At 41.2% G+C, this 21,208-nt stretch overlaps 1 protein-coding gene and 1 pseudogene across 22 annotated transcripts in view, besides 1 other annotated feature; one reads left to right on the top strand and one right to left on the bottom strand.

Annotated features, from left to right (window-relative positions):
• Positions 1-21,208, bottom strand: part of CATSPERE (catsper channel auxiliary subunit epsilon) — a 189,263-nt gene that overhangs the window by 31,921 nt on the left and 136,134 nt on the right. For 16 of the 22 annotated variants that reach the window (XR_001737095.2, XR_001737096.2, XM_011544138.3 and 13 more), the window contains 5 exons: positions 20,050-20,102; positions 16,853-16,903; positions 15,156-15,189; positions 15,006-15,085; positions 2,790-2,889 (listed from right to left, as the gene is read on the bottom strand). Coding sequence is in view for 18 of the 22 variants with exons in the window: in XM_011544138.3 (XP_011542440.1) it covers positions 2,790-2,889; positions 15,006-15,085; positions 15,156-15,189; positions 16,853-16,903; positions 20,050-20,102 (318 nt within the window). In the remaining 4 variants the exon portion in view is untranslated. Of the gene's footprint in view, positions 1-2,789; positions 2,890-15,005; positions 15,100-15,155; positions 15,190-16,852; positions 16,904-20,049; positions 20,103-21,208 lie in introns of those variants that run through there. The other 6 variants (XM_017000951.2, XM_047417117.1, XM_047417127.1 and 3 more) reach the window with 4 other exon arrangements.
• Positions 8,347-8,556: an enhancer, noted in NCBI's record as "active region_2840". NCBI's record gives its function as "activates an Ori minimal core promoter by ATAC-STARR-seq in GM12878 lymphoblastoid cells {active_cell/tissue: GM12878}" and the evidence as "EXISTENCE:reporter gene assay evidence [ECO:0000049][PMID:35858748]".
• CYCSP5 (CYCS pseudogene 5) lies at positions 9,897-10,194 on the top strand (annotated as a pseudogene).

Here is a 21,208-nt window from a genome sequence, read left to right as displayed (position 1 = left end):
CAGAGGGTAAACTGTTTGAACTGAAATGCAATTTTTTTTTTTTTTTTTGAGACAGGATCTTGCCCTGTCAACCAGGATGGAATGCAGTGGCATGATCACAGCTCACTGCAGCCTTGACCTCCTGGGCTCAAGCAATCCTCCCGCCTCAGCCTCCTGAGTAGCTAGGACTACAGGTGTGCATCACCACACCTGGCTAATTGAAAAATTTTTGTGTGTGGAGAAGGGGTTCCACTATGTTGCCCAGGCTGGTCTCAGACTCCTAGGCTCAAGCGATCATCCCGCTTCAACCTCCCAAAGTGCTGGGATTATAGGTGTGAGCCACCATGCCCTGTCCTTAAATGTAGTTTTAATGGGGGCTGCTATATTAGTTATTAGTCAAGATAGTCTCTACGTGCTGCAATAATACACCCCAACTCTCAGGGGATTTACAAAATACAAATTTAATTCTTTTTAAAAAAATTATTATTATTATTTTTTTAGACGGAGTCTCACTCTGTCACCCAGACTGGAGGGCAGTGGCGCGATCTCAGCTCACTGCAACCTCCGCTTCCTGGGTTCAAGCGATTCTCCTGTCTCAGCCTCCTGAGTAGCTGGGATTACAGGTGTGTGCCAGCATGCCCAGCTAATTTTTTTATTTTTAGGAGATATGGGGTTTCACCATGTTGGTCAGTCTCAAACTCCTGACCTTGTGATCGGCCTGCCTCAGCCTCCCAAAGTGCTGGGATTATAGGCATGAGCCACCGTGCCTAGCCAACAAGTTTAATTCTTGATCACATATAGCCCAGTGCAGATGTCCCTGGTTAGATGGTTCTGACGGTGCCTCTCCTCAAAGCAGTGAATTAGGAACCAAGGCTTTTAAAAATGTGTAGTGGCTCCTTGCATTCCAGCTCTCATCTACTCCAGCCTTACTTGTTGCTGTAATACACTGATGTGAGGTATGATGGAAAGCGTGAAGGTTCACGTGATTCCTTCTTAAGCACTTCACCTGGAAGTGACACCTATGACTTCTGCTCATATTCCAGCCATGCGAACCAGTCATATGGCCCCAGCTAGATGCAAATGCATCTGGGAAACGTAGTCCCTGTTTAGAAACTTTCCCAGCAATACCCTCATAGGATGGATGGCAGAATTCAGGAATCCATGGTGATTGTTTTCAGGGCAGGAGGAAAAGTGATCCAGTTCTGAGTATACGGTACCAGTAAGTAGGGATGGCATAGATGTCAACTGAATGGCAGGAGCCTCAAACAAATGGAGTTTTACTTAGAGTGAAGAGAGAATGACCTGGAAATGATACTGTATCTCTTAGTGGCCTTTTGGCTAAGACCAAGTGCAGCAATGATACTATGGATGAGGGAGAACATCAACCCCAAATCTCACCCTTAAGTATATGGGGTGAGAGAAAGAGTACTCTTGGTTCGATAGAACTGTAGGGAAAGGGTTGTCCTCTGAGGAACTTTTATTGAAGAAGGATCTAGAGCGTTTAACCTTGAGGCATAATGGAAAGGTTTGAGAAGGAAGAGAGTGATGGGAGTCTGGACCAAGGGAGAAGATGGATACAATAGTATAGGGATGAGACTGTGCAGAGGAAGCAGACCAGGAGAACTTACATATTAGGTGCTGAACAAGCATAGGTGGAATGTGTGGTGGGACGGATGTATTTGGTTACATAACTGAAAGACAATTGCCAGTCACGGTGGCTCACGCCTGTAACCCCAGTACTTTGCGAGGCCGAGGCGGGTGGATCAATTGAGGTCAAGAGTTCGAAACCAGCCTGGGCAACATGGTGAAACCCTATCTCCACTAAAAATACAAAAATTAGCCAGGTGTAGTGGCATGTGCCTGTAGTCCCAGCTACTCAGGAGGCTGAGGCAGGAGAATCGCTTGAGCCCAGGAGGTGGAGGTTGCAGTGAACTGAGACTGCACCACTGCACTCCAGCCTGGGCAACAGAGCGAGACTCTTAAAAAAAAAAAAAAAAAGCAAAAGAAAGAATTCTTGCAATACTCTGGGGGATGGCAGGTGGAACTCAGTTCTCTTGGCTGCCATCTAGATGGGTTATACTTCTGGATAATTAAGGTGTCTGGTAGATAAGAACATTACTTCGGAAAGAGCCATCCCTGTTTTTTGTGTTTTTTTTTTTTGCGAGTGAAATCTGTGGGGAATATTAGAAATCAGTGCTGGTAACTTCTAGAGAGGCTCCATCATGACAGGAGGCCCTCAGGGCAGGAAGGCCCACACAGGGAGGGGAAATGTGTTGATTGGGAGTGGTAAGACCACTCTGCTGCGGCCTACAAAGTGAAAGGATAGAATAAGGGAGATTCACCAAGGAGGCCAAGAGCAACCAGTCCTGGCGGGTGGAAGGAAGCCGGGAGAGTGTAGGGACACTGAAGCCAAAGTCAGCAGGGTCAAATGATGCAGGGAAGTCAAGTGAGACGAAGCCCAGAGTGTCCGTTTGACTTAGTGCACAAGTGATAAATGTCCTAAAGCCAAAGGCAGACCCATAAATAATCAAACACTGAATACAGTTTGGAGAGAAAAGAAGACTCATAGAGTTGCATCATCCTACTATAAATGTTATTTTTTTTCTGACCCCTTTATGTCTGTCTTATGTGACAACTTCTATTTTTCATAAATGAATTTTAGTAGCCATATAATTTAATCTAGAGGTGATTTTTTTCCTACCCACTGCTGCCTTATTCTATTTTCCTTAGATCGCTTATTTATAAATTTAAAACAGGAAGACATTGTCTAGTTGCATGCTAAATTCTGGTTAAATCCAAAGATGCCATACCTGTGCCATAGTATTATTAAAGCTATAGTCATCCCTGCCGTGTATTTCCCACACTATGAAATTTGCTTCAACGTCTTTAACATAGCCATTATCATCAAATCTGAAAGAAACAACAAACAGAAAGATACTAGTTTAATATAAAATAGAGGGGTTAAGAGTTCCAGCTTCTGAGTCAGAAGTGCTTAGGTTTAAATCCTGTCTTTATCACTTCATAAAGTGATAAAGTAACTCTGGGGGAGTTACTTAAACTCTTGAAGCCTTGATTTTTTTTTCTGTAAAATAATAACAGTACCTATTGTTTAGGTGTCTTTTGACAGCTGGATGAAATAAACAGATGTTCTTTCATTCAGCTCTCAAAATAAAACCTGATAGTAATGAAGGAGAAATGTTTTACTTTTTGGACATTTGGAACTCTAAGTTCTCTTCACTGGACAGGGTCCATCTGTTGATCAGGTGAGGGTAGCTTAGGTACTGCTGTCATGGGTGTTAGCAGGGAGAAAGACGGAAGGATGTGATGGATGGAGAAAGGGCAGAGCAAGGGCACAGCAGGATGCCCTGTTGTCTTTTAGCTCATATATTCATTTGCTGCCTATTATGTACTAGATGTACTAGAGAATGAAACCACAGAATTACTATGATGAGAACGGAGATGCTGCAGATCCCCCTAGGAGGAACCAGCTGGAAGGTGTGGCTGAGTCTGGAAGGATCAGTGGTGTCAGTAAGTCGAGGTGAGGCTGAGAAGCAGACGTAGCCTGTACGCTCCCTGGATCTATAGTCACACCTAGCCCATGCTCAGAGAATGCAAGACGACTTCTACCAACAGCAGACACCAGCAAGGGGAGTGCAAGATGGACCGGCTACCCCTGCCTTGATGCTACAGCTGGAGACACAGGTCCCATTGGGCTTATTTACCGCAAACTCAGTAAGTGTTCAAAAGAGCTGTAGTGCTTCATATTAATATTTTTCTCCCTGCTACCATGTGAACATAGAGGCTTGAAATCAGAGCTAAAAGTTCAATTCTTGATAAAGTCGTGCCTTTGCACACCAGAACTTGTGACCGTAAGAATGGTTACATGTTTTCCTTCTCCGTCAGTTACTCCCATATTTCTGAATGAAATTGTCCCCCATGCCTGTTGGGTAGAATTTCACTTAGGACCTTAGTGTCAGGCACTTGCTTCGAGGCTGCTGGCTCTGGGACTGTCGCCCCACCTTCTCCTTCTGGTAGAGCTTCTTGCTGCACTCACTGCTCTGTGTCTATCAGACAAAATAACAGGTCCTTGACAGTGTCTCCTGACTCACTGCCCCATCTCTGCTTCACCTCACATTTGTATCTGGCCTTCTAGGTCTGCTACAGCTTGCTAACACCCAACCCTTGTTATTAAAAGCATTTATTGTCCCATTCTCACAAACTGGGGACAAAAATTTTAAATGTCAAAAAGTGGTACCTGAGAAGTTATTTTCTTTCCATCCTATTTAGTTTTGAGACGTCATGAAGAGATGAACTCAGAAGGTTAGTTCTCAAACAGGCATGACTAGCTAGGGATTGGAGGATTGGTGTTTGGCTTCTTTTCTGATGGGGAGGAAGGCCACAGAGTATTCAAAAACTCTACTGAGAGCTCTGGGACCCTTTCGCAACAGACAAATGCACACATGTGCAGGCATACATGTATTTTTGTATAGTTTCAGAGATTTGGGTCAGGCTTTAGCAAAGCTCTAATTCTAGGAGCTTTGGAAAGAACAGAATGTTTGCATCTTCCAAAAGTCATCAGACTATTGAATTATTACCATTTATTGGTATTTTAGAGATGGGGTCTTGCTCTGTTGCAGAGGCTGGAGTGCAGTGGCACAATCATAGCTCACTATAACCCCTAATTCTTGGGCTCAAGGGATCCTCCTAACTTTAGGACTACAGGTATGTGCCACCACACCCAGTAAATTTTAAAATCTTTTGTAGAGATGGGGAGTCTCACTATGTTGTCCAGCCTCATCTTGAACACCTGGCCTCAAACCACCCTCCTGCCTCTGATTCCCAAAGCACTGGGATTACAGGTGTGAGCCACCATGCCTGGCCAGATTCTTACATTATTAAGAACTAGTTGCAAGCCATATGTTTTATTAAAAAAAAAAAAAAATCTTAATTGAACTGAGCTGGCATCTTTTGCAAGAGCAATATGCTACAGTGCCATCTAGTGGCAATAAGTGTAAATTACATGACCCATAATTTCTGGGTTTGTAAAGATCTTTTACAATGATGTTTAATTTATATCATTGAATATATTTGAAAAAATACTTGTCTATATAAGCATGGCTTATTTTCATGAATGTTCTTTAATGTAGGGTATAATACTAATTAAGCCTAAGAAATGCAGAAATGTTACTAGTTGGCAGCTCTTCCTTGCAATTTGTAACCTCCCCACAGTGGTAGTTCCATTTTGGGAATTGGGAAAGAGACCTCTCTGTGCACCTGCAAACCTATTAGACAAATCCTTGTGGCTATCCCATTGTATTAACCACGACTTTAATTTTCTGTATTCTGATGCCATAACTTCTGGGGCCTTGCTGACTCTAGGGGGTCTGCGGAAGGTTAGCCAATTCCTAGAGATAGTAACCAACTCTTCCAGGAGCCCCTGCCTATGAAAGGGGGTTCTTTATTAGTAGCCCTGGGCTACTATCCTCCTACCCTCATCACCCCAGAGGCAGACACACTACAACCAGGGAGAGTCCCTAGTCCCCAGAGCCCCATTGAAATTATTCAAAGTAGCCAATTTCAAACATGCTTACCCTGCCTCTCCTATTCCTTCCCACAGAAACTGCAATAAGGCTCTGCCCACATTTCCCCCTCACTCCCTCTGCCTCCTGACTGACCCTGATGTTTCCATGTGTGGCCCCATGGAGCATGCCTTGCCCCCAGTTTCTAGGGATCTGTATGTATAATGCACTTCCTTCCTGATGGCCATTTCCGCGTCTGTATATCTTACCGTACCTGACTAAAGCGAATCCTCAGGACCCTTAAAACACCCAGAATATCTGTTCCTGAACTCCCTGCAGGGTAACAAAGAAATCCTGCCCCACTGTTTCCTCTAGGGCTGCTTCTGTGGCACTGAATTCTAGTTTGGGATTGGAGCGTGATAGACTCATCATCAAATGCTAGTAAGTGTGGGGCAAGCCCTGGGACTCTGAATCCAGCTGTGATGACTTGGGTTCCCAGCTAGATCACACTCCCAGGGCTGGCTTCCTTCTTATGAGTGTTGGACAGTCAGTCTATTGTCCTTTTATCGGTAAAACTCTGCCGAGCCTTGTACCTGAGCCATTCCCTATAACGTTAAGGCATTTATTGTAATCCAGAGACCTAGACTATGGGCTAATTTCCCGGTGGCCACCCCTGCCGCTGATTCTCAAAGCTTGATTGATTCAAGTCTGCCAGAGTCTCAGAGTGAGCAGCTAAATTCACCTCTGATGAATACCTGATCGGATACCTGGTTTTCAACTATGTATACTATAATTCAGTGGAACTGGACAATGGACCTTACCCATTTGTCCCTCTGTCGTTGACCTCTAGTATTCAGTTCATTATCTTAGGATAATTGGAAGTAAAAGGTTTTATCAAGTGATTCCTAGTAGCAGACAAATAAGTTATTTCTAGAAACAAGTGCTGCCACAAAAATCCCAAATAGTGCTGTTCCAGTAGACTACTCTCCCACCTCACCCTCTCCCATCCCCCACTTGTCCTCTCATCTGCCCCTTGACCTCATAGAGATTTCCAGTTCCCCAATTCCTCCTTCCTTCCCCTTCCCCTTCTTCTCCTTCCCTTTCTCCCCTTCTCCTCCTTCTCTCTCCTTCCTTCCTTCCGTTTCGCTCTGTTGCCCAGGCTAGAGTGCAGTGGTGCGATCTTGGCACACTGCAACCTCTGCCTCTTGGGTTCAAGCGATTCTCCTGCTTCAGGCTCCCAAGTAGCTGGGATTACAGGCGCCCACCACCCACGCCCGGCTAATTTCTATGTTTTTAGTAGAGACGGGGTTTCACCATGTTGGCCAGGCTGGTTTCGAACTCCTGACCTCAAGTGATCCGCCCACCTTGGCCTCCCGAAGTGCTGGGATTACAGGTGGAGCCACCGCGCCCGGCCCTCCCTGCTTTCTCACACAGCATTTCTCTCTTGCCTTCTCTTCGTTCCCTACTCAGCCCAGTCTCATGGCTAATCATCTGACCCCCAGTTATATTTATCCTATTTTTGCTGGTGAGAAATCTGTCAGTCTAGGTGACATTCCATTGTAGGTAATCTGTCTTATTTATATGACAGCGTATGTGATTTTCCCTTTTTCTTTACTGTTTTATGGCTTCATTCTGAGGTATCTGAGACTTCATGCCAATCCTCAACCTTCTGACTTGGGCCTTAAATTCTGAAAAGTTTTCATATTTTATTTCTTTTCATTGAATGTTGCCTCTCTTTTCAACGCATTTTCTGTAATTTCCCCTTCTGGAAAAAATTATTAAGCACATGTTGAAATTTGTCCTTCTGCTGAAATTGTTTCTTACCCTCTTTCTTATTTCTTTATCTGTTTACCTATTTGTATTGCATCCTGGTTAATTTCCACATCCCTCTTTTTTCAGTAATTCTCTCTCCACCTATATCTAATCTGGTTTGTAATTATGTCTAAAATTTTGAATTTAATGACTACATTTTCATGTCTAGAATTTCAAAATTTTTAAAATATGCCTACTTTCTTTTCATAGTCGTATTATTTCCTTATGATTTCTATTTTATTTTTCCTCTTTATTCATTTTTGAACACATTTTCTATATTATTCAGATTGTTCTGTTATTTTTAAGCATTTGCTTTGTGTGCTCATTTTTCAACTTATTTTATCTGCTGACTCGCCCTCATGGGGGTCCGTTTCCTTAAATGTTTGTAAATTTAGATGATCGATTCTTTGATGGTGGTGACTTTTCCAGTGAGGATCCTATATCTCTGGATTTGATGATCGATTCTTTGATGGTGGTGACTTTTCCAGTGAGGATCCTATATCTCTGGATTTGATGATCGATTCTTTGATGGTGGTGACTTTTCCAGTGAGGATCCTATATCTCTGGATTTGATCGATTCTTTGATGGTGGTGACTTTTCCAGTGAGGATCCTGTATCTCTGGATTTGCTTCTCCAGTTACCTTTGTTTCAAGGGGTTTGCTTAGGGGTTTCAAGGCTAGTTGATAGTTTTTAGCTTCATTTTTCATATGGCACTTTCTGTGACTAAACTCTATTCCTATTAGGTATAAGTTCAGATCCATAGGAGGCCTGAGGTGAACATTTTGGTGGACATCTCCCATTCTTATAGGAGGTATGTTTTTGCCTACAAATTCATGTAGGTTACAACCTTCCTTGTGACTGACCTGGGCATTAGCAGAGTTTTCTAGTCTCTCTCTCTCTCTTTTTTTTTTTTTTTGGACTAGGTAGCTCTTAATATATCCTGAATTTGTGAAAGAGCCTCTTGGCCTCACAGGGGCTTGAAAACCCAGCTTCCAATTTCTAGCTCCATTATCCTGGGCCAGTAGCCCTGGATCGCATAGGTAGGCTGAAAAGCATTGCTCTAACTTTCAGTTCTCTCTTCGCTTCTGAGAGTCCGCCTTCTTTCTTTCAAGCTTAGTTATGTACAAAGTATTTTTGTTATGTTTTATGCAGGATGACGTGTCTATCACGGGAGGGAGTCCCGTCACGTCCTAAGTTGAGGGAGTGACTCAACTTAGCTCAGTCTGCTATATTACTATAATCAGAATGACTCATTTCTAACCTTCCTTTCTTTATCCTCAAACTGTAAACATACTCATCTATCTTCCTCTTTAAAAAAATCCAGGTCATATTTTGTGTTTTTCTCTATAGGTAAATTCCTGTCTCTTTCTTCTATTTTCCAGCCCAAAGCTGAAAAACTGTAGACTATATTTTGCCTCTACTTGTAAACTTCTCATTGATTTTGCAAACCCCCTGCAGTCTGGCTTCTCTTCTCACCATTGTGTAGAAACTACTCTTACTTGAGGAACGGTAAGGAAGCCACTCGCTGCATCTGAGTGAGTGCAGTGAAGTTTAATGGGAGAAAGGTAACAGAGGCAGAAAATCAAATAGAACCTTGAAAGTCATTGTAAGGTCTTGGCTTTTACTCCATGATAAGGATTTCGAGCTTTGGAGCAATGTGCTTTGACTTTGTTTTCAAGGTTTTACCCTTGCTGCTATATGGAGGCAAGAGTGGAAGCAGAGAGAGCAACAAAAAGCCTGTTGTAATAATCCGGGTCAGTGGTGATGACTTGGGTCTGTAATAGCAGGCATTGACAAATAGATAGACCCAATAGGCTTTGTTAATGGATTTGATGTAGGGTGTATGAGAGAGAGAGGAGTCAGGGAGATTCCAAAGTTTTGGCCAGATGAGCAAGGATGGAGTTGCTACCACTTAAAATGGGGAAGGCTACTGGTGGAGCAGGTTTTGAGGGGAAGATCAGGAGTTCAGTTTTGGACAGGTTACGTTTGATATATCTATTGACATCTAAGTGCAAAAGTGATATATGTATTTAGCATCTCAGTGGAGGTGTCAGTCTGGGGTTCAGGAACTGTATCTGATTACATTTTATACACCACCTTGCAGTTAGATTTGAGCCATGGCAATAGGTTCTGGATAATGGGATGTGGGTCGAAACCACCTCTAGTTCTAAGCCTTTAAAACATCCCATACAATCCTCCAGTCTTTTTCCCAGACACGGCGGCAAACCAGGAGAGACCATGTCCGGACGATGTAGTTCTATATATCAGACTATGACATGGAGAGTTAGGCACTGGGATTTTAGGGTTTATTTATTACTGCAGCATAGCCTAAGCATACTTGACAGATACAAGGGGAGACGGTCAGGCTGTAGATGCAGTGTTGGGATATATCAATATATTGAGACATCCTGGCCCATGTGACTGGATGATGACATTCAAAGAGAAAGTTGAGATGGGGAAAAGAAAAGAAATCCCTGGGCCTCCGGGCATTCCAACACTAAGAGGTCAGGGAGATCTCAGAGAGCCAGATGTCAAGCTTCTGAGCGGGAACCTTTGTAGTGCGAGCAACAAAAGAGAGAATTAAATATGGGTGATGTTGAAAAAAGCAAAAGTGTTTTTGTTTAGAAGTGTGTCCAGTGCCACACCGTGGAAAAGGGAGGCAAGCATAAGACTGGGCCCAATCTCCATGGTCTCTGTGGGTGCAAGACAGGTGAGGTGGCTGGATTCTTGTACACAGACACCAAGAAGAACAAATGCATCATCTACGGAAGGAGCAATTGGAGAATCCCAAGTAGTACATCCCTGGAACAAAAATGATCTCCACTGGTGTTAAAAGGAAGGCAGAAAGAATTGGTCACTGCCTTATTTACTTAGAAACCAGAATTGTCTCATGATTTTACGTGTATTGTAGTGTCATTGATCTAATATACCAGGGTTCAGGTCATGTATGACTGGCAGAATATTTTTGTTGGGCAGCCCTGATAAGTAAGACTGGCTTCTGGTTAAATGAATATGATCAGTTTTTTTGAATTTTGACAGCAATTCGGACTCAGTAAATGCTATCCCTGTTTCCCCTTCTACAGATATGATTGAGCTTGATGAGAAACGTCCAACTTTTCACAAAGACGAGAATGCCATCCCCAAACCTACTGGAGACTGGTTTTTAATTTAGATGTGTGTAACTAGTTATATGAATATATTTTAATACTGGAAAAATTCTTGCACTGTCTCAGAACCAAGCAAGACTCACATGTTCTTTAAATTTGTGTTCATTTGCCTGTGAAAGGTAAGGGCTGAAGGTAAGAACGCAATGTTTATGTTTTTGGTCTTAACTCTGCCCAGCTAATTAGAATTCCCTGTATCTAAAATGCTGCCTTTTACTTATTGAAGGGCATTTTAATGGTTTATGTGTCGTATCAAATGAAAACACTTCTCACACTTATAGATGACACTTGTCACCTTTTAAAATCAGTGTGACAAGAAATAGTAGCAAGTTAAACTTTACTTTCAGACTCTTGACTAAGTTGGACTAAGTATTAACTTACGATTGTCATTAAACCGCTATTCAAAAACACAGAACTGTAGAATTACTGTGTGTGTGTGATTGGCAATGGTGCTTTGCCAACTTGTTAAAAGGATTAAAGTAGAGGAGCTATATACGAAATTATAAATTATAGGTGATCGTAAGACTTAAGAAAATTAAAAACAAAATCCCAGATCATGAAAAAAAAAAAAAAAAGAAATCAGGGAGGAACTAAGTAATTAAGGGGGTGCTACCAGCAAGGAAACAGAAAGAATAGGAGAATGAGCTATTCTGGAAGCCAGATGAAGAAAATATTTCAAGTAGGGGTAAATGATTAACCGTGTCAATTCTTGTTAATGAGATCAAGGAAGGTGGGACCTGAGCATTGACCATCGGTTTAGCTGAATGGAGGTCACTGATCATGTTGGCTGCCAGTGCCAATAGAGTGGTGAGCACAAAAACCAGGCTGAGGGCGATTTGGGAGAGAATGGGAGAAGAGTTGATGAGAGTGACCACAGAAGCTGAAGGGCTAGTAGGGTCAAGAGAGGGTTTTTCTGTGATTGTGTTTGTTAATTTTGTTTTGCTTTGGTTTTTGGTGGGAGAAAGACCTGTATATTTGTAGGATGAGTCAGTAGAGAGGGAAAAGTTGATGATACAGGAGAAAGAGGAGGACAGTTTCAGGAGCAATGTTCTTGATTAGGAAAACCGGTGGGGATCTAGCTTACAAATGGAGGGACAGGCCTTAGACAGATACACAGACAGTTCATCTATAGTGACAGGAAGGCAGACAGAGTTCCTGGTACAGTTGCTTGAGGATGGACAGGTATGGTGGTGGAAGTTTGTGGAGGATCCCTTCTAACTAATGTCACCTTGGAGTCATTCATGTTCCTCATTCTCTTACCCTTACCACTCACATCTATCAATTATCAAGCCCTGCCTATTACAATCACTCATTTTCTTTTTTTTTTTTTTTAAATTTTACTTTAGGTTCTGGGATACATGTACTGAACGTGCAGGTTTGTTACATAGGTATACATGTGCCATGGTGGTTTGCTGCGCCTATCAAGCCATCATCTAGGTTTTAAGCCCCGCATGCGTGAGGTATTTGTCCTAATCCTCTCCCTCCCCTTGCCCCCCACCCCAGACAGGCCCCGGTGTGTATAATCACTAATTTTCTTATACAGGATTCTTTTTCTTTGTCCTTGTTGCTATTTCAGTCATCTGTTTTTCTCTTCCTAGTGATGCAGGTGAACCCCACACTTGGGGCTCAGCTTGGGAGGTTTTTTGGCTTCACTCAGGAAAGAATTCAAGATTGAGCTGACAGTGAAAGAAAGCAAGTTTATTAGAGTGAAGCGTACAGCAGAATGGCTGCTCTGTAGACGGAGCAGGGCTATCGCATAGGCAGAGTAGCACTCATGGATTGCTGGCTAGCTATATTTATACCTACTCATAAATATATGCTAAATAAGGGGAGGGCTATTCAAGAATTTTCTAGAAGGGGGGAAGGGACTTTCTGGAACCATATATGAAAACTTCTGAGTTATTGCCATGGCATTTGTACTGTCATGGTGCCGGTGGGAATGTCTTATGCAAATGTATTATAATTCCAAGTGCTAGCTGGTTTTGGCCAGTTTCTTGGCTACATCCTGTTTTGATCGACAGGGTTGTGAAAACAAGTCCTGCTGATCTCCTACCTCACCAGGACTACCAATACAGTTGACTAGCTGGTCTCCCTACTTAGATTTGTTTCTCTGAAATTCATCCTCTACCCCTCTCCCAGAGAGAACTAGCTAAAGCAAATTTTTTTTTTTCTTTTTTGAGACGGAGTCTCGCTCTGTCGCCCAGGCTAGAGTGCAGTGGCGCCATCTCGGCTCACTGCAAGCTCCGCCTCCTGGGTTCACGCCATTCTCCTGCCTCAGCCTCCCCAGTAGCTGGGACTACAGGTGCCCGCCACCACGCCCGGCTAATTTTTTTTGTATTTTTAGTAGAGACAGGGTTTCACTGTGTTAGCCAGGATGGTCTTGATCTCCTGACCTCGTGATCCGCCCGCCTCGGCCTCCCAAAGTGCTGGGATTACAGGCGTGAGCCACTGTGCCCAGCCTAAAGCAAATATTTGATCATGCCACTCCACCGTAAGACTTGATAGAAGGCCTTCCGTGGTGTGGAATCCACCTAGCTAGCTTCCTGGCCTCTTCTCCTGAGACTTCATGACTAATTTTTGCCTCAACAATATCACACCGTTTGAACTATAAATTTTCTTCCTCCAACTGTCTGTTTTACTTGAAAGACTTACCCAGCAGAATTCAACATTACTCTCCCCACTTCTCTCCTTCCCTCCTCTGCCTCTAGCAAAATACTCATTATCCATAAGACTCAGTGACTTAGCTCAAATGCAAGTCTTCTGGAGCATTTCCCAGAGCCTCGCTCTCTTTATAGCTGGGTTGGAATCTTTTGAGTTTCAATACTATCCACCCACACTGCTCCATTCTGTCATTACACTCAGCATATCTGCGCATATGTTTATCTGCTCTATCAGACTCTTCTGCTTCTGAGGGTAGAAATCCTGTCACTTATCTTTCCATTTCCAGGGCCTAGCACCGTTCTTGGTGTAAAGTAGGTGTTTAGCAATGATGAACTGAAGAGTGCACTTCTCTGAGAAAGAAGATTAAGATTTTTTAAACTTGGCAGGTTAAGCATTACATAAACAAACACGAAAACACAAACACACTAGGCCTCTGGTAGGGAAAGCAGTGCTTCAGGTGCCCAGGAAAAGCAGTGACATGATTGGGTGTCTAGAAGAAGATCAAAACTAAGAAAGCAAGCAGATTAGCTGGATAGCATGGAGAGCTCTGAGAGACGGACTGCTGGAGTATGATTTAAGATGGAAAGGGCACATGGTAGAGTCTTAGAAGTGCCATGGGCGAGGGTTAGGGGCCAGACCATGCTGGCAGAGGCCTGCAGGATCCCAGTGGGAAAAGTTCTGGTAGCAAAACTAAACTGGAGCGTCTGATTCATTACTTCTATACCTACCCACCCTGAGAGATCTCAGAAGCTGTCTGCAGCCTAGGAGGTCCCCAAAAGCTGAAAGCCTTGACTAAGAACATTTTGTTGATGTTTTAGACATAGGAATTTTACTTCCAGCAGTCTACCCTAACAGCATACCTGGACTCGTGACCAAACATGTACATGAATGGATATTCACTATTATTTATTTACAATAGCAAAAAATTTAGAAATGTGAGTCGTTTACCTCGTATTTTTTCTATATTTTAAATTTTGTAACAAGCTGTATAACTTTTATAATAATAAGCCAAGAATAAAAGAATAAAGTCAGAGACGAAAGCAAACAAATACAAAATCACTTGGAAAAGTCTTCCTAATAGCATTTCATTCATATTTTTATTATGAAATATTATTCGTTTTTGTTTTTTGAGACAAGGTCTCACTCTGTTGCCCAGGCTGGAGTGCAGTGGTGCAATCTTGGCTCACTGCATCCTCTACCTCCTGGGCTCAAGTGATCCTCCCCTCTCAGCTTCCTGAGTAGCTGGGACCACAGGCACACACCACCATGCCTGGCTAATTATTTTAATTTTTGTAACGACAGGGTCTTGCTATGTTGCCTATGCTGATCTCGATCTCCTGGGCTCAGGCCATCCTCTGCCTCAGCCTCCCAAAGCACTGGGATTACAGGTGTGAGCCACCGTACCTGGCTGAAATATTGTCTATAAGAATTGATTTAGGGATAATATTTTTGAAATGCCCTCAATGTACTTGTCGGCAATCTAGTTTCTTTCCTTATAAGCTTTCATTTATTATTGGCTTGTGGAAAGAGAAGTTATATCACCTGGGGAAGGTAGTTCCTACCAAATAGGCAGGGGTGCTGGTAGGAGCCTGGGGAGAGATTCAGAGGGGATAAAGCAAGGGCTTCCCTGACAGGCAGGCTCTCAGCTCTCTTACCCATTGAAATTTCGGCTGCCAAATAGTGATGTCCCTCAACATGCAGGGACCATCACGGCCCAGCTTTGTATAACTAGTACTGAAAACCAAGTCTCGCATATATTGAGTAGAGTCTAAAATACGTGTTGTTAGATGCATGATCAATTAGTCTTGTTTTCGTGCTTTGAGTTTGAAACTTTCAATATAAGTTAAAATGTTGATGAGAATATACTTACAGTTGAACCACAGGTTGAAACTTTTCTGTGAAGTCAAGCCTCAGAGGGCAGCCATATTCTCCCCAAATATACCTTACTCTCTAGAAAAGGAAAACTACTTTAGTGATTTTATATATTTGGTCCATTGACAGAATTTTATCATTTTCTTACCAAGTTTTTCGATGGCTGATGCCTCAGATATGACCTGTGAAAAAGACATTCCTCATTATTTCTCTTTCCTCTTTTCAAACTTAAAACTAAACCCATGACTTTGTTTAGGTAAGGAGGTATCACAAAGGTCAAACAGATAAATATAATTATGAAATACTGAGGCACTTTCTACATGTATATCCACACATATTAACACGTTCTTACAACCACTAAGGCGTGAATTACTGTCCTCTCTTTGTAGATCTGGTACTATTCTCAGAAACTGTGTGAAACTCGTTCAAGGCTGCAGACCTTGCTTTACTACTGAGCAGGATGTGTGACAATAAAGCCCATGTTCGTTGTGCTATTCCAGTACAGTTCTTCCCAGAATATTAACAGATGAAAGAATAAGATACATCAGAATCAGTAACAATAGATGTGTATTTTAAAACTTCAGATGTTTCCTAATTTAGATTTCTCACGAGAGTGGAATGCTTCACGTTCATGAACTCAAGGACTTATTCCTTCAAAATCACCTCCCCCACATTCCCTGTCTTCTCAGTCCTCACACTTGAATCACTGTTTCCAGCCATATGTTCCATGTATGTTACCACGTTGCAGGGGACAGACTCAGGAAACCCCCATCACAGTGACAGAGTCTATTTCATATTCTTGCCTTTCAGGTGCAGCTGCCAGCTAGACACTAAAAGGTGGTGTCCTCATCAACTATTAAACATTTTCTTCTCATCCTTGTATTTCACCAATGGCTTTCACTAAGCATTGCAACCTGGAGCATCTAGGCTGGGCCACTCTCCACCCTGCCTTAATTAATGAAATCACTTAAAGAATATGCCTACTGGTTAAACATTCTTTCATTTATTTTAATTAATAAATTAGACTACTTATTATTTTAAATAATAATTTCTAATTAGAATTAGAAAATTTCATAGCTTTTCAAAGATGCTTGTAAATATTTCAGAGGCTGTGGACTTCTATATTTTGACAGTCTAACAAATATTTAACATTTAAAAATGAAGATCTTTATCTTACAAAGGTAAAAGTCAAATTTTATTTAGTTATATCTTTAATACATCACATTATTAAAAATAAATATGCATACAATTAAATATAAAATCTAGAAAAAATTCAGTTAGTAGAATATTTGATGTCAGGACTTTCCGGGTAAATATATTACTTCTAACTAGCTGAACTACAGTCTTGTAGAATTTAAGCCACCATGCCCGGCTAGTTTTTTGTATTTTTAGTAGAAATGGGGTTTCGCCACGTTGGCCAGGCTGGTCTTGAACTCTTGACCTCAGGTGATCCACCTGCCTCGGCCTCCCAAAGTGCTGAGATTACAGGCATGAGCCACTGTACCCGGCTTCAGTCATGTAGAATTTGAGAAAAATTATGTAAGGAAAAAAAATTCTTGTATGTCTTCCTTAAATTACAGGGAGCAATATGAGATTTGAGACTACATATATGTAAATGAGGCTTGCTTTGCTTATCCAATTAAATTGAAGGGGGAAGACTGACTCTTGTATGTTTCAGGAAAGTTAATTATACCATCTACACATTTTGCTTAATGCTAAAACTGACTGCACAGTGTCAAGCCGAACACATGGATGCTAATAATAATCCACTGAATAAGTACTGATTGTAAAGTATTGGTACTACGTTAATATAAAACTCAGTGCTTATGTTAAAAAATTTCTTACTTTTCAATCACGTATGAAAAATCATGGTGATGACATCCTTTTTTACTAAATCTACAAAAGACAAAACATAATGAAGTTGAAATATCATTTCTTAAATATTTGCAAAAACATTTAATCATTTAACTCAGTGATTCTCAAACAGGAGAGTGTCAGAGAATCATCATTTACTGAATTAGAATCTCTGGTTAGTGTGTAGCCTTAGCATTTCTGTTTTTAAAACATCAGTTTCATAAATGTTTCAGGAGATACCAGAATTTGAAATCTACTGATTTATCTCTTATATTTGATACATGCTTATTAAAAATTATAGCAGATGCAGGGCTTGGGGAGAGGTTGCTCAAAAGATAGACAATTTCAATTAGATAGGAGGAGTAAGTTCCAGAGGTCTATTGTACAACATGGTGACTTTAGTTCATGATATATTGTATTCTTGAAAAACGCAAAGAGAGTAGATGTGAAGTGTTTTCTTACCACCAAAATGATAACTATGTGAGGTAAGACATATGTTAACTAGCTAGATTCAGTCAGTCCACAATGTATTTTAAAACATCATGTGGTACACACTAAATACATACAATTTTATCTGTCAAATCAGAACAAAAACCAAAAACTCCCCAACACAGAAAGAAACAAGAGTTGGCAAGGAAGCAGAGAAATTGGGACCCATATATATTGCTGGTGATAATGTAAAACAGTGCAGCTGCTATGGAAAACAGCTCGGAGGTTCCTTAACAAGTTAAACATAGGATTACCATACAACCTAGCAATTCCACTCCTAGGTAGATACCCACAATAATTCAAAACAGGTGTTCAAACAAACACTTGTACACAAATATTCATAGCTGCACTATTCACAAAAGCCAGAAGGTAGAAACATCCCAAATATCCATGAACTGCTGGATGGATAAACAAAATGTGGTACATCCATTCAATGGAATATTACTCAGCCGTAAAAGGGAAGGAAGGACTAATACATGCCTGTTGAACCTCAAAAGCAGACTTAGGTGAATGCAGCTGGACACAAAAGGTCATATGTTGTAGGATTCCATTTATGTGAAATATTCAGAGCAGGCAAATCCATAGAGATTATGGTTTTGAGACAGCAGATTATGGTTGCCAGGGGCTGGGGGAAAGGGAGAATGGGAAATGACTGCTAACTGGGTAAAGAGTTTCCTTTTGGGGTGACAAAAATATTGTGGAACTAGATAGTGGTGCTAGCTGTACAACATCGTGAAGGTACTTAATTCCATTGAATTCTATACTTTAGAATGGTAAATTTATATTATGTGAATTTCATCACACTTTTTAAAAAGCTGCCATGGTAAAACACACATGCACACACAAAAAAACTCATAGAAAATCTATCAAAATGAAAACAAATTTCTTTGGACTGTTTTATTAGATGTAAACTTCTTTTAAATGCAAGATTTCTAGTTGCTACTATTGTGCAGGTAAGGAGTTATTTTAAGGATTAACATAATTTCTAGTTAGGGTTCATAAGACAGAAGGCTATAATGATCGTTGTAATTATAGGAGTTTTTAGTTAGGTAAATTATTCATCTGACCATTTTAGCTGGCTGCTTCCAGTGGAACTTAGAAAGAACCCTTGTCACCACCATTTTTAGATAGATATTGGAAGTCTAGACCATCCCTCACCCTGAACACAAATTGGACCCCAAGAGTTGACAACTCTCCTTCATTGACAAGTCCCTGGCTCTCCAAAAGTAACTTGGACCCCATGCTATTCCAGGTCTCCCCTGGTGACTGTAAAATCCATAGGCCCACTGTAACTTGAGCCCAAGATATTAGAGTTTTTAGGGTTCCAGGGAAGTGGGTCATTGACTAAGAGGCCCAGAGTAAGGTCCTAAAATCCATGTTTTCAAAACATGTTCTCCAAGTGATTCTGATGAGTAACTGAGCTTGATAGTTATTATTCGGACCCTTCTAGAAACAGACTGCTTCAAGCTGCTTTCCATCTCACTTTAGAAGGAAATCGGGCCTGAGAAGGCATTCTGCATGCAGCGGTACTGGGAACTGATTTTGGTAACGTTTGCACCAGTTATTCTCAAATGTTAGTGCTCCTTGTAATCTCCTGGAAATTTTGTTAAAATGCAGATTTTGATTCAGCAGGTGTGGGATGAGGCCTGAGAATCTACATTTCTAACAAGTTCTCAGGTGATGCCAGTGTTGGTCCATAGGCCATACTCTAAGGAGCAAAGATGTAAATCATCCCTGAAATAGGATGATACCGGCTATATAAATCAACTAGCCTTTTTGCATTTTCTGGGAAAGGAATTACGGGTGCAAAGATGTTAGGAAATGCAAATTTAGGAAATGCTGAATGAGATGCAAATACTTAATTATCAATCCAGCAACTGATTATTACAACTCAGTAATAATTAAAAGATTATTAGAATGACAGAGGAGTAGATATTTGTTTTGGATGTCAGCAAGTAATTTCATAAATACTCAGATAAGAGTCAATGTTCCCCGACTCTCACTCCCACTCCTAACTGAAGGAAAGGAATCACAATAAATTTCTGTCTCTGTTATACATTTAGCCTCAGCTAAACAGATTTGTGTATGCTGCCTTTGATTTTCTCCCATGTAGAAGAAAGAGAGGTATGGTGAATGGAAGACACAGAGTCCAACGTGCTTCATCATGAACCATAGTAGAACCGACAAAATTCACACGTTGGGATTCTCTAGGGCAATCACTGTGGTTCTGCTAGGCTTGTTCTAAGAAATTTCCCATAGAAAATGGTGCAGAAAACTGAGGCTTCTCTGATATGGGTGTAAGCAGTTCTCTGATGGAAATGAAATTATAACTGGTTTGAGAAGGATGGAAAACTGGTAAGTGTTTCTCCCTCCTATTTTTCTGGGAATGAGCCGTAGACTGAAGAGTTGAGAGAGGCAACTGTGAAGGACAGAAACTGGCTTATTAAAAGGGAAGGTAGAGAAAAAATGCTAGTAATAGAGAAAGAGGCTAATTCTTTTTATTTTTAGTATGATTCAAATGTAGTATTTAACTTGGCAAAAGTTTAAACCAATTGAATCTAGGCATGAACGTCAATTCAGTTTTGGATTTCATTGTGGATGTGTCAGTCATTAGGCTATTATCACTAGCAGTTATCACTTAGTTTACCATTTGTTTTAAAACTTAAAGAGTAACACAGGTCAAATGGAAATATACTTACCCTTTAATTGCAATGAATTTTTTATCATCACAGCCAACAGCTATTTGGAACACCTAAAATGAAGTAACTTAGGTAGTGAGTTCAGCAGTTCTGATTCATATGATCTAAAATATTACAGCTAAAACCAATTGCATTTTAGATTTAAAATAATAACTTGTAAAATGTAGGGTTCTCTTATACCACTGCTCTGCACTGTTTTCTTCCTCTTTCCTTGATCACTTTTTTTTTTCTTTCCTTCCTTTTGTCTTTACTGCTCATGAGGCCCAAAAGTTGGGTCTCTCCTTTCTTACATTTGTGTCTCAGGGAATTGATCCAAATTCATCTTTTTTTTTTTTTTTTTTGAGATGAAGTCTTGTTCTGTCGCTCAGGCTGGAGTGCAGTGGTGCGATCTCAGCTCACTGCAACCTACGCCACCCGAGTTCAAGCGATTTTCCTGCCTCAGCCTCCCAAGTAGCTGGGATTATAGGCATGCACCACCACGCCCAGCTAATTTTGTATTTTTAGTAGAGACAGGGTTTCACCATGTTGGTCAGGCTGGTCTCAAATTCCTGACCTCATGTGATCCACCTGCCTCTGCCTCCCAAAGTGCTGGGATTACAGGTGGGAGCCACCACACCTGGCTCAAACTCATCTTTTACCTGTTTCTCTACAACCATGACTATCAAATCTCTACTTCCAGTTTGCACCTCTGACTCAGCTGGCAGGTTTCTATAATCTGTCCAGCTACTAATCTGACTTGCTGTTTTCACTTTTGTAGACCAGTAATTTCTCAGGGTACTGAGCATCACGTGAAATAGCATCTTACTATTGTTATTCCTCCTTTAAGCAGCAATACTCTATTCAAAGGAGCACTGGTCACAGGCTAATTATTAACTATTAAACCACTGTCCTCATTTTATGGATATTTATTCTAAACATTACTCATAATTGCTTTTTTAAAGAAATGCACATACGTGCTTTGTTTGAAAACAAATGACCTGTGGATCCTATAGCTTTGTTAACACAGCCCACGCTTCTCTGTAGGTCAACTTTGGGATACAGGGGAGAAAGGCAAATGTAAAATCAAACAATGGCATCATATAGCCAGGCTGTTCCATGATGCCTTGTTTCATGGGCTGGAAATGCCCAAGAAGGGCATTTGATATGGAAAAGGCTAACT

This window comes from Homo sapiens, chromosome 1 (assembly GCF_000001405.40).
Source record: "Homo sapiens chromosome 1, GRCh38.p14 Primary Assembly".
Taxonomy (NCBI): Eukaryota; Metazoa; Chordata; class Mammalia; order Primates; family Hominidae; genus Homo; species Homo sapiens.
The sequence above is the reverse complement of the archived record's forward strand: the minus strand, read 5'-3'. Positions and strand labels throughout refer to the sequence as shown.